Source organism: Homo sapiens, chromosome 11 (genome assembly GCF_000001405.40).
Source record: "Homo sapiens chromosome 11, GRCh38.p14 Primary Assembly".
Taxonomy (NCBI): Eukaryota; Metazoa; Chordata; class Mammalia; order Primates; family Hominidae; genus Homo; species Homo sapiens.
Window position 1 is genome coordinate 116,341,156 of NC_000011.10, and position 13,434 is coordinate 116,354,589.

Here is a 13,434-nt window from a genome sequence, read left to right on the forward strand (position 1 = left end):
AAAGAAAAAAAAGTGAGACCTGAACAAAGACTTTAAGGAAATGTGAGTATGCCAATAAGATACCTTGAAAAAGAGTTTTTCAGCCAAGGAAATAGCTAGAACAAAGGCCCCAGGGCAGAACCTCATCTGGGAGCAGCAAGAAGGTCATTGATGCTAAAGCAGAGTGAGCCACAGTGAGGATAGTAGCATATAAGGTAAAAGCAGGGAGGAGGGAGGGCTTCAGCTTTCACTCCAAGGGGAATAGGGAGCCACTGCAGAGTTTTGAGCAGGGGAGTGACGTAATCTTTCTTAGGCTTTAAAAAGATCCTTGTGGTTGTTATAACGGTGATATGGTTTGGCTGAGTCCCCACCCAAATCTTACCTTGAATTGTAATAATCCCCACATGTCAAGGGCAGAACCAGACAGAGATAGTTGAATCATGGGGGCAGATTCCCTCATACTGTTCTCATGGTAGTGAATAAGTCTCATGAGATCTGATGGTTTTATAAATGTGGGTTCCCCTGCACAAACTTTCTCTTGCCTGCCATCATGTAAGATGTGACTTTGTCCCTCCTTGCCTTCCGTCATGATTGTGAGGCCTCCGCAGCCATGTGGAACTGTGAATCAATTAAACCTCTTTCCTTATAAATTACCCAGTCTCAGGTATGTCTTTATTAGCAACGTGAGAACAGACTAATACAAATGGGAATGAGAGGAATAGTAGAATCAGAAAGACCTATTAAGAGGGTACTACAGTGACTCAGGTGTGAGATGAAGGTGGCTCCAACCACAGTGGGAGCAGTGGAAGCATGAGAAATGGTCAGATTCCATATATATATATATATATATTTTAACGTAGAGCCAAAAGTAGAGTATTTCCTGGTAAACTGAAGTGTGTGAGAGAAAGGAGAAAAAGATGACTACATTTTTTGGCCTAAGGAGCAACTAGAAGGTTGGAGTTGTCATCAGCAGAGACAGAAAAGGCCATAGGTAGAGCAGATTTGGAATGGGTTGAGGGAGGGGGTCAGCGGTTCTGTTTGGGGCAGGTTGAGCCTGAGAAGTCTACCAGAATTCAGGCAAATGCAAGAAGGTTGTGCACTTCTAAATAGGTCAGAGAAGGCTTACCGAAGCTATTGGATATGCGAGTCTGAAGTTCAGGAGAGAGGTAAACATTGAGGTCATCAGTATACAGCTGATATTTCAAGTCGCAAGACTAAGTGAGATCATATAGAGAAGATGAACAAAGCCACCATTAGGAGGCCTAGCAAAAGAGATGAGAAAGCAAAGGAGGTGAGGGAGAATCGTCTGGGCAGATCATCTGGGAGAGCGAGTGGCACCACCTGAATCAAAACATTGCTGATAGGTCAAGCAAGATGCAGGCTGAATACTGTCCACGAGATCTAGCCATGAGGGAGTCACTGGTTACCTTGACAAGAACGGTTTCAGCATGGTGGTGGGGAGAAGGCCTTATTGGCTGGTGCCAACTCTTTTGAGGACTTTTCCGTAGTAAGAAGCAAAGATATGGCAGGAGATTAAAAGAGAAATGGGATCAAGAGAAGGATTTTCTTCCCATTGGAGCATAATAGCAATACGTTTATATGCAGACTGAAATGGTCCAATATAGTGCTAAAAGTTGATGATATGTACGAGAGGAAAGAACCGCAGGAGGTGAGAGGGGGAGGAATGCACACCCTGGTGGAGGAGTTGGCTTTGGAGAGCAGCACAGACAGTTCATCCACAGTATCATGCGGGAAAGGCAGAGCATGAATGGGCAGATGCTGGTAGTTGGTAGATGCAGTGGTAGAAGTTTGTGGAAGTCCTCCTTTGACTGTCTCCATTTTCTCAATGAAGTAGGAAGTAGGAGAGGTGTCTTGTGAGAAACCTTAGGGCTTGCTGCCATCATTGACAGGGTGTTCACACACATATTTATCAAGCTTTTGCTCCCGGCCACATACTGAGCTCTTGACATGCAGCATCTTCACAACAGTCTCCAGATTTTAGTCACTATATACCCTTTAAAGATGGAGAAATGAGGCTCCAAATGATTAAGCAAATTGCCCTTATCACCTGGCTGATAAGGCTAGAGCCAGGATTCAAACAGCAGCCTGACGCGCTGCAAATCCTGTGCTCGTAACTGGGGTGGGAGTGGAGGGCAGAAGCAAGGGAGGTGCGTGGAGAGAAGAAACTTGCCCTGCCCCAAGGCGGTGATGGGCCAGAAGGAGGGGACTGGCTTGGCTGCCTCAAAGACCTGTGAATGAAGGACTTAGTCAGTGAGTTGCTCAGATGTTCCCCACACCTGCCAGGTCCCTTTTGGGGGCTCTCACCATGTTTTACACATATCTTAATTAAATACAGTGCTTCTCATGGTCTATTAGACTCTATTACCATGTGCCTCAGCCTTCCCTCAACCACGTCAGCCAGATGCAGGATATCTGAGAAACATAGGTATTTCTGCATTCATTTCCTGTTGTTGCTAAAACAAATCACCACAAACTTAGTAGCTTGGAACAACACAAATGTATTACCTTTTTTTTTTTTTTTTCTTGAGATGGAGTTTCACTCTTGTTGCCCAGGCTGGAGTACAGTGGTGCTATCTCGGTTCACCGCAACCTCCACCTCCCAGGTTCAAGCAATCCTCCTGCCTTAGCCTCCAGAGTAGCTGGAATTACAGGCACCCGCTGCCATGGCTAATTTTTGTAATTTTTAGTAGAGACGGGGTTTCACCATGTTGGTCAGGCTGATCTGGAACTCCTGACCTCAGGTGATCCACCTGCCTCGGCCTCCCAAACTGCTGGGATTACAGGCATGAGCCACCGCCCCCCAGCCACAAATGTATTATCTTACAGTTACGGAGGTCAGAAGTCTGACGCAGGTCTTACTGGCTAAAATCAAGGTGTTGGTAGGGCTTTGTTCCCTTCCAGAGACTCCAGGAAAGAACCTATTTCCTTACCTTTTCCTGCTTCCAGAGGCTGCCTGCATCTCTTGGCTCATGGCTCCTTCCTCCATCTTCAGAGTAAGCAATGCTGGCTGAGTCCCTTTTGCATAGAACCTCTCTGACCTCTTCTACCTTCTTCTTCCTTTTTTAAGGACCCTTGTAATTACATTGAGCCCAACCAGATAATCCGTTCATTGTGCTCACAGGTTCAGAAGAGAGACAAAAGGGTTGATATTATTCTGCCTGCCAAAATGAGTCTAAACGTGTAACTCATAGCCTGCACAAGTCACACCTCCAGTACACTAGTTTGCAAGTCCTTATGGTCTTCATTCATTCATGCGGGAGTCTGGGCTTTAGGAACCAGCCTTGGTCTGGGAGTCGTTTTCCCGCCTCCCCTACAATGTTTATTTTATTTAATGGATGTGTTATTTTGCCCAGAAAGCCTGCAGAATGTCTGAAATGAAAAAGGATTTTGTGTCTAAACCACTGTGTGCTCCGGGAGGTGTGGGAGGTGCGGGAGGGTGTGGGGAGTGGGATGGGGTGGAGACGGGACTGGTCCCCTCCATTTTCCCAGCATCTTTTCCACTCCTTCCCTGGCCAGGATATAACAGATGTATGGGGTGAGCCCTGGTAGGTTGTGGGGATTTTCCTGACAAACTTTGTTAGCAGGGCTATTTAAATCATTCTAATTACTCCAGAAACACCCCATTAAGTTTCCCAGTGAGGCATGCCGAGGAAAAGGGCGAGGAGAAATTAAGGAGAGGCTGAACGAGAAAAACTGCCACAGACCTGCCATTCGGCTCCTGCAGCCCCAGGTAAAGTTTGCTTAAAACAAGGAGGCAGGGGAGGGAGCCAAGGGCAAAAGAGAAAATAAACAGATAGTGTCAGGTCCTGCCATTAGAAATGCAAAATTCATTAGACAAACATTGATTGCAAAGAATTGATTTCGTAGTGATTTGATTGTCAGGCATACACTACATCCAAGGAAATTTTTCATTATAATTCAGAATTTGTTAAAAAGAAGCAAAGACAGGAAGGCAGTGGAGCAAGGACGTGCTGCGGCGAATACCTGCTGTCGGGGACCCACACCTGGCCTGGGAGCTGCCTTGCAAGACGACCCTATTATTGCACCAAGGAACTAGTGATCTGCTTGTTGCTGCCACAGCACATATCAGTCTGTGTACTCTGTGAAGAGGCATAGACCCCTGGGACATGACCCCATCATATGGGCTGGTTGGGACAGTTTCTCTGTTGCTTCCACCTCCCAGTTGGAGAGACCACACTCCAGCCTAGGTACCCCTCTACTGTTCCTCCCTCTTCCCCTGAAGAGCAACTGTGCAGCTGAGTCTGGGGCCAGATAAAGAACAGGGGCTTCTGATGACCAAGGATGCCCAGCTGAATGCTGCCCTGGCCCAGCAGCCCGTTCCTCAGAGGGCTTTGCTAAGCTTTGCTCCCTCTCACTGCACACCCTGCCTGTGGTCCTGGGGCTTCTCCCCTCTTCTCTCTCATCCTACTGCTACTTCTCACTCCTCTAGGTCCCTGGAAAAGCCAGGTCCTTCCAGTTTGGAATCCCAGTGTATTCCTTCTGGCTTCCAGTCTTGACTTCACCTTTCTCACCAACATGGATTTGCTAGAAAAAAACTTGACATTTCTCTGTCCCATCTTTGCAGCCCTTGACAAAAGCCAGGCCCCTCAGCTGACTCTGAAAATGGCTTCCTATCCGCTGAAATCACTTGGATATTTTCTAGCTTATTATTGAGCAATTTATTCTAGCAGGCTCTGTCCCCTTCCTTGCACATGAGTTCTGCCATCATCTACCCTCCTGCCTCCTGTCCCTTTTCTTGCCTGGTACTGTTTCCTCTCGCCTCTCTTTTACCAAACACCAACCACTAGCTTTTCCCAGCCCTGCTCCTTTAATCCCCTGGACAACTGGCTGAGTGTAGGATCTTCTCCATCACTCAGGGCTTAAACGTCATCTCCCTTTTCAAGGTTTCCTGACCTCTTACCCTAGATCCTCCTCTATAAAATGAAGTGATGATAACAACTTGCCTATCCACCACAGAGGATCAGATATAATCATACCATGTAAGTGCTTTGCAAACCGAAAGGGCTACTCAAATGTAAGCTGCGTTATGTCTCCAGTTGAGGGATTCACAATACAATTTGCATTTTGAAAGCAATCCTTAGTTATTAAATATTTAAGAAATACTTTTGGCCAGTGATTCTCAAGCCTAGATGAAAAATAGTGATTCCATTGTTCTGGGTTGAGACTTGAGTAAAGGATCTTTGAAAGTCCCCAGGTCCTGGTCCCGGTCCCTCTCCCTCTCCCTCTCCCCACGGTCTCCCTCTCCCTCTCTTTCCACGGTCTCCCTCTGATGCTGAGCCGAAGCTGGACTGTACTGCCGCCATCTCTGCTCACTGCAACCTCACTGCCTGATTCTCCTGCCTCAACCTGCCGAGTGCCTGCGATTGCAGGCGCGCGCCGCCATGCCTGACTGGTTTTCGTATTTTTTTGGTGGAGACGGGGTTTCGCTGTGTTGGCCGGGCTGGTCTCCAGCTCCTAACCGCGAGTGATCTGCCAGCCTCGGCCTCCCAAGGTGCGGGGATTGCAGATGGAGTCTCGTTCACTCAGTGCTCAATGTTGCCCAGGCTGGAGTGCAGTGGCGTGATCTCGGCTCACTACAACCTCCACCTCCCAGCCGCCTGCCTTGGCCTCCCAAAGGGCCGAGATTGCAGCCTCTGCCCAGCCGCCACCCCGTCTGGGAAGTGAGGAGCGTCTCTGCCTGGCCGCCCATCGTCTGGGATGTGAGGAGCCCCTCTGCCCGGCTGCCCAGTCTGGGAAGTGAGGAGCACCTCTTCCCGGCCGCCATCCCGCACCTCTTCCCGGCCGCCATCCCGTCTGGGAAGTGAGGAGCGTCTCTGTCCTGCCGCCCATCGTCTGAGATGTGGGGAGCGCCTCTGCCCCGCCGCCCCGTCTGGGATGTGAGGAGCGCCTCTGCCCATCCGCGACCCTGTCTGGGAGGTGAGGAGCGTCTCCGCCCGGGCAGCCGCCCCGTCTGAGAAGTGAGGAGCCCCTCCGCCCGGCAGCCGCCCCGTCTGAGAAGTGAGGAGCCCCTCCGCCCGGCAGCCGCCCCGTCTGGGAAGTGAGGAGCCCCTCCGCCCGGCAGCCGCCCCGTCTGGGAAGTGAGGAGCCCCTCCGCCCAGCAGCCGCCCCATCTGGGAAGTGAGGAGCGTCTCTGCCCGGCAGCCACCCCGTCTGGGAGGTGGGGGAGCAGCCCCCGCCCGGCCAGCCGCCCCGTCCGGGAGGGAGGTGGGGGGTCAGCCCCCCCACCCGGCAGCCGCCCCATCCGGGAGGGAGGTGGGGGGCAGCCTCCGCCCGGCCGCCGCCCCATCCGGGAGGTGGGGGGCACCTCTGCCCGGCCGCCCCTTCTGGGAAGTGAGGAGCCCCTCTGCCCGGCCGCCACCCCGTCTGGGAGGTATACCCAACAGCTCATTGAGAACGGGCCATGATGACGATGGCGGTTTTGTCGAATAGAAAAGGGGGAAATGTGGGGAAAAGATAGAGAAATCAGATTGTCTCTGTGTCTGTGTAGAAAGAAGTAGACATAGGAGACTCCATTTTGTTCTGTACTAAGAAAAATTCTTCTGCCTTGGGATGCTGTTGATCTATGACCTTACCCCCAACCCGGTGCTCTCTGAAACATGTGCTGTGTCCACTCAGGGTTAAATGGATTAAGGGCGGTGCAAGATGTGCTTTGTTAAACAGATGCTTGAAGGCAGCATGCTGGTTAAGAGTCATCACCACTCCCTAATCTCAAGTACCCAGGGACACAAACACTGCGGAAGGCCCCAGGGTCCTCTGCCTAGGAAAACCAGAGACCTTTGTTCACTTGTTTATCTGCTGACCTTCCCTCCACTATTGTCCTATGACCCTGCCAAATCCCCCTCTGCGAGAAACACCCAAGAATGATCAATTTAAAAAAAAAAAAAAAAAAAAAGAAGTTACAGGAAGGACGCACTTAAAAAAAAAAAAAGAAAGAAAGAAAGTCCCCAGGTAATGCAAATTTTCAGCCAGGGTTGGGAATCAATGATTTGTACTTGACTTTCACGTTATTATGGAGCCATCAGCTATCTATCCACTTGGTCCAGGAATAAACTCCCCTTCACCTACTTTCCTTCCTTATTTTTTTCACCCACAGTGGGTCTTTGGGAAGAGATGTGTAAAGGAGATGAGTCCTAGAATTTGAGAGACTGAAGACGGACCTTGGGAAGATAATCCACCCCCCTCTGAAGTTTCACTTCCTAGGGGGCACCCACAGAGGAAGAGGGAAGCTCTCCTCCTCCTTCTAACAGCAACACAGCTGCAGGGATGCAACAACTAAGCCCCTGCTTCCTGTTTCCTCTTTTAGACATCTTGCCTGCCTCACCCTTGTCCTGGCCCTGCCTCTTCCTCTTCCTAACATTCAAATCTGACTCTAGTGTTGACTTTATTCAGTCATCCATGTGTGAGACCCAACCTTTGCTAACAGGTGGCAACCTCTTTCATGAAATATAAGGTGCCATCATTTGTAAAATGCACCATCATGCTATGTATCACTAAGAAAGAAATGCGTGTTGTCAAATAAACTGTGAGATGGCATTGATAGTAAGATGCATTTCGACTTCAGGGACGCTAAAATGTGAACCAATGTAGAATTGATGAAACACAAATTCCACTCACTGATTCCACCTCTTGTCCCCCCACCTCTTGTCCGCCATCATGTATTTGATGTTCATCAGCTGCTTCTCTGGGACTGAGTCACCTCAGACCTCTAGTTTCCCCTCACTCTGAAATTCCTGACTCCCTCTAGCTGTTGGCTAAAAAGAGAAGAAGAAAAGTATTCCTGTTCTCAATCCTCTCAGCCTTCTCCATCCTAAAGAGCTGGTCTGGTGAAAACCTTGAAACCAGGGAAGGCTGGGTCCAAGGGGCCAAGGAGTCAAGGGGTGTGGGGGAATATTTGCAAAGGGAAAGGTCCTTTTGTCCCAGACAAAGCCCCATTGGAGCAGCCTTTGTCCCCACCATAATGCACTGGCAGGAGCCACCACCACTCAGGCAGTATTCACGGGAACATGCATACTAAATGCCAAACACTGAGCTGAATGCTGGGGGCACAATGGTAGCTAAGACTTGCTCCCTGACCTCAGGCATCCATCTAAGTCTAGACAGCTGCCAACTCTAAACATGTGTAAGTTCTCTATGATGGGGCATGATCTAAATGAGGGAGTTGCTAACTCTGGTTGAGGCTGGGGTGAAAGTCAGGAAAGATGTCACAGAAGTGACAACAAGCCACGTCTAAAAATATAAAGAGAAAACTAACAAGCCAAGAAGAGGGGGTATTCCAGGCAAAGGGAAAAGCATAAACAAAGAAACCCAGGTATAAAAAGTCAAGCATATTGAGGAGCTGCAATGGTCCCAGGTGCGTCATGAGGGGTCGTATTGGGAGAATGGCAAGGGATACAATGGAGCCTGGTTGTGAACATCCTGAATGATAAGCTACAGAGTTAAGACTCTGGCCCTCACAATAGGGAGTCATGAAAGGTGTTTGAGCAGAAGCGTAGCATGCCTTCTATGCATGCATGTAGCTTACTTGGTGGCTTAGGACTTCTGTTAACTGAATAGATCTTGGTGACCTTCTGACCCATGGCCTCCTCATATTACCATGTTGTTTCATAGGCTCTACCCCACTTCTGCTTCTGGAAGAGCTGAAATTCCAAGAATGTCATAGATACATTAGAGGGCTTACCTTGGGGGAAATCCTCGGAAGCAATTAATGAGATCATTAGCCCTAACCCAGGTTGCAGCAACAGAATCTACTCCCTGCTGCAGCTCATGGGGCTGGGGTCTGGAAGACCTCTTATCAGGACCATTTGGGAAGAGGAAAGGGTTCCAAGGTGGGAGGGAGTTTGATGAGAGAAGTCAAATATGAGCTCCTGGTCAGCAAATGTCACATAGATCAATCCTCCAAGGGACAAAGCCATTGGCCTGAAGAGATGATATGTGCAGGGAAAGCTGTCTCTATCCACGGTCTTAAATGATGATTCTCAGGCATTGTGAGTAAAAGCCAGTGATCCTTCTGAGGAGTGAAATTTGCTAAAAGGACAGCCAGAATTGCTGTAATGAGCACATCCATTAATTTTATTCTACACTGCAGGAATAGTCGCCATGACGACTCAGGCTTTCCCACTAGGGTTGAGATGCTCCTGGGGATCAAGAGGGACCCCAGTCTTGGGCACCCTGTGTTTGAAGACAAGGTCAGCGAGAAGGGACTTGGGAGTTTTTTCATGAGAGTCATTTCCTGACAAAGAAAGAGGCAGTGTATTAATTAAGATAATGCTAGCTGCTGACACAAATAAACGCAAAATCTCAGTGGTTCTACCCAATGGAAGTTTTATTTCTTCCTCTCATAGGAAAGTGCTATGCTTCAAGGAGTCAATTAAGAACCCAGACTGATAAAACTTTGCTGCCATCAACATGTGGTTACCCCATGACCACCCTGGGCACTAACTTCCAGCCAGCAAGTAGGGGAAGGCAGGGAATCCATGCCCAGAAGGGCATCATGAACAAGGCCTGGAACTGGTATAGGTCAACCACCTCCTCCCACATCCTCAACATTCTATGTTCAGAGCTCAGTCACATGGCCCACGTAGGTGCAAGGAATGATGGAAGCCCCTATCCTGGGGATTCATACTGTAGAAGCGAAACCTCAGTCTTGCTAGACAGTAAGCCATCTGCCCCAGGAAGCCCAACGTAAATGAGGGAAAAAGAACTGGGTTGAGAGTCCAAGAGTGCCACGTCCACTCTAAGCTCTCTCACCATCAAAATGTGTAATCTCTAAGTCCCTTTCCTCCTGGGCCTCGGTGCCTTCACCCCTATAATAGTGGGGGGTGGATTTAATAGTCTCTGGAAGCCTTTGACCATAATGCTGAGGTTCAGGCTGCACTGTGGGAAAGAAAGAGTTACCCAAGTTCCACCCAGCGAGCCACCTTCTGGGCACAGAGTCACACTTCTTCAGGAAGACTGCACCAGGCCACAGTCTCACTCCCAACTTGACATCATATAAATGGGGCCCCAGAGAGGCTGGAAATTGAACAGTCCCCACAGGAGAGGAAACATGAAAGGTTACATGATTCGAGCCCACACGGGGGTCCAAGTGACCTTTCCTTGAGTGGAAAGACACAGGTTGCCGGTCCAGTGACCAATAAGGCAGACAGCACCAGGAGCTGGACTGCCCCCAGGGACCACAAGGATGGAGTAGGAGGGCTCATTCTGCCAGAGTCACAAAGGTGAGCACACTGAGTGCAGGCAGGAAATGCTGGAGCTATATGGAAATAGACACACAACCCATCCGTTACCACAAACACACAGAGAATTTACATGGCATTTACATATCCACAGTCAGGTACACATTGTAAATGCACACACAGGGATGTACATACATACATAAGTGCACATAGATGGGTACACAGTCAGTACATACTTGCCTGGGGCAGACAAGGGTGGACTTGTAGATACAGTTGTTTGTGAATGGGTATACACACTTATATACGCACGGGGGCATTTGGATATTGCACCAGGACCCATGGTGGATACACAATTAGGTATATGTAAATGGATACATCAGCTCATTTACACAGAATTCACAGCATTCTCATGGTTATACACAGATAGAAACCCACCCAGGAATACATACACGGGAACACACGGACGCAGCCACCCATACATGACTAAGATCATGGGACTATCCACACATATACGTAGAGCACACACAGGTGAACGCCTCACAGTTAACCACATAATCCCAGGATGCACACAAATGGGAAGTGGGAAGCTAGTCCTCACCCCTGGTCAGTTATGTCAACCCTAGGCAAATCATTTCCTCTCTTTGGGCTTCATTATCCTCATCAGTAAAATATGGGGGCGGGACTAGGAGGCCTCTAAATGCCAGTTCTGAACTGACTGATAAATGTTGACAATTAAATTAAGAGATGTGGCCCCTGTCCCTGGGGTGCTTCCAGTCTAAGGAGAAGTGGGCAAACGCAGTCCAGAAATGACAGGAAAGCACATAGACAGCAATAAATGTGTGAGTGACTTAATGGTGCCATCTATGCAGATAGGCAGGGTCTGAGGAGTTAGAATAAAGATGGCACCAGAGCTTCCCTTAAAGCCAACTTGGTTCCTCAACTGGATGATGATGTGAGCCAGATGGCTTGCCGTCCCTTCCTGCCAGGGCAGACTGCAGAGGCCAGGTTTTAAGGGGGATTTAGGAAGGAAGGGATGAGGCAGGGCTATCTTTCAAGCCTTGGGACCATAGAGGACAGGCAAATCTGTCCAGGGGTCCCCCAGAAGGCCAGCACCATGCTAGAAGGCGCAGACTGGCAACATGCTGTGAGCTGTAAGAAACAGCCTTAGTGATAGGCTAGATGCTGATCACTCTGCCAACATGAAGCCCACCGCAATCCTCTGGCTTAGGAAACTCCATAAAGTGGCCCCAGGATAGATCTGTGCACTCTTTCTTCTGTTGTCAAGTGGCTCATCACTCCCTGCAGGATAATGCTGGCCAGCATCCAGGAGGTGAGTTTTTACATAGTATGGGCACCTGGATACAAGTGTATCTGTATATGTGTGTATATGTGTGAGGCTTCTTGTATCCATTTCCTGTGTCTCCAGGCACATGCTTGACTGTCTACACTACATAGGTCTAACTGTTTAATCCTTGCTCACCTGGTCCTTTTGGGTAATATACACATAAATATGCAAATTGTGTGTAAATGTCTTTGTACATATTTTTTGTCCATTCGCCAGTACCCAGATATAAACCATTTCCTGTGTCCCTGCCCTGGCTTGTATAAGGTAGGGAGAAATCCTCTGCCCTCTTCTCCATCTGCCTCCTTTCCCTGGCTCTCTCCTTACCTAATTGGTAAGGCTGGGAAAAGACAGGGTCATGGCACCTGCACGGCTGGCATCAGTGGTACAGTGCTCATGTTCTCTCCTCCTCAGCCACAGGTAAGCTGGCCACAGCAGGCTCTGCCCGAGAGCAAGGAGGCCTGCAGGTGTCTGGATTCTTGGCTTGCAACTCTGGGCAACCTCTAAGCAGAAGGCAAGGGTAGGAAGTCCATGGGAGCTTTATGTCTTTAAATCAAGTTCGTTAATGATAAAGCTAGCATGCTGACAAATCTAATTGGAGTGCATTTTATAAGCCACAAGCTGCTGATTGTAAAACAAACCCCAATTTCAGAAATGTGAAAATATATATGTCATAAAAAAGTGATGAGATAGAGGAATATCTTGATCCCTGTCTGCCTGTTGTGTCTATTTTTCACTTGGTTCAGAAATTGGTGGGAAGAGAAATACAGTGATCACCCCCAAATCACTATACATTTGCACATACCTGTACACAGGGGGTATCTGTGCATATCCGACCATTTTAGCCAGGCCTGAGGTGTCTGTCCATCTGTGGGTTACTGTTTGTGTACACTGCTTGCTGAGAAACTGCACTTGTGTGTGTGCATCGCTGAGCATGTAACAGCTACACACACAGGTGTTTTAATGGGAGTGTGTGTGAATGATTTCCTGGGTGCCTGTACTTGTCAGCATGTGCTGTCTTTGTGTGTGAATGTGAGTCATCGCCCCCAACCTGGACTCCCTAGCCATCATCCTGAAAGGCCACCGGCTATAAACAAGGAGTTACAAGAGCACCACGGCCCCTCTTCCTTGCTCCTTCACTCTCCTTGTGCTGGCTTCTCCCTCTCCAGGAGAGGTCACCCAGAGGTGCCTCCAGAGTCAGGCCCCGCCTCGCCTGTCTGAGAACAACAGGCACAAAGCAATCTAGTAATTAGTAATAATCGTGTCTCCCTGACAAGCCATTATTTCACTAGAACAAAGAAGGAGCTCAGGGGGCTCCAAGGGCCAGGAACAAGAAGGCTGGAAGAATGACTCCTTTACATCTCTGGGTTTGGTGGAATCTGGGGACTCCTCAGAGCAAAGCAGGGGCCTTTGCTCTGTCAGGGCCTCAGTCTCCTCCCCATCCCCATCCTTCCATCCTCTCCTGCCTCCTTTCTCTCCCTTGCCCAAGTGTCCAGACAGCCCTTACTTCCCAGTCCTGCAGAGGGAATGAACTGGATCGGGCACCAAGGAACCCAGACACAGCCCAAGGCTCAGGGCAGAAGCACAGGAACAACTGACAGGGAAGACCTGGACTTGCCAGTCCACTGCCCATGGACTTGAACTCAGCAGGACATACATTTTGCAGAACAGAGTGAGCATGAGGCTGCCTTAGAAAATATGTCCTACAGGACATGCCTCAGCACCCAGCCTAGCACTCTGGTCTCACTGATGCTTCTGAAGACAGATAAGTTCTTAATCCCTTCAGCATTTGGGGGGACATTCAGGAGTACACAAAAGTCCAGAAGGCCTGGTCCTTTCCCTTGAGGGGCTTAAATCCAACAGGAAAGAAAGGAAATGTCCACAGATGACTGAAAT

General features: G+C 49.1%; 1 long non-coding RNA gene across 1 annotated transcript in view, besides 1 other annotated feature; it reads right to left on the reverse strand.

The window, feature by feature from the left end:
• LOC107987166 (uncharacterized) overlaps positions 1 to 13,434 on the reverse strand; it is a 160,015-nt gene that overhangs the window by 26,945 nt on the left and 119,636 nt on the right. The gene's annotated exons all lie outside the window — the stretch shown is intronic.
• Positions 957 to 1,251: an enhancer, noted in NCBI's record as "tiled region #3214; HepG2 Activating DNase matched - State 8:EnhW". NCBI's record gives its function as "activates a minimal TATA promoter and a strong SV40 promoter by Sharpr-MPRA in HepG2 cells {active_cell/tissue: HepG2}" and the evidence as "EXISTENCE:reporter gene assay evidence [ECO:0000049][PMID:27701403]".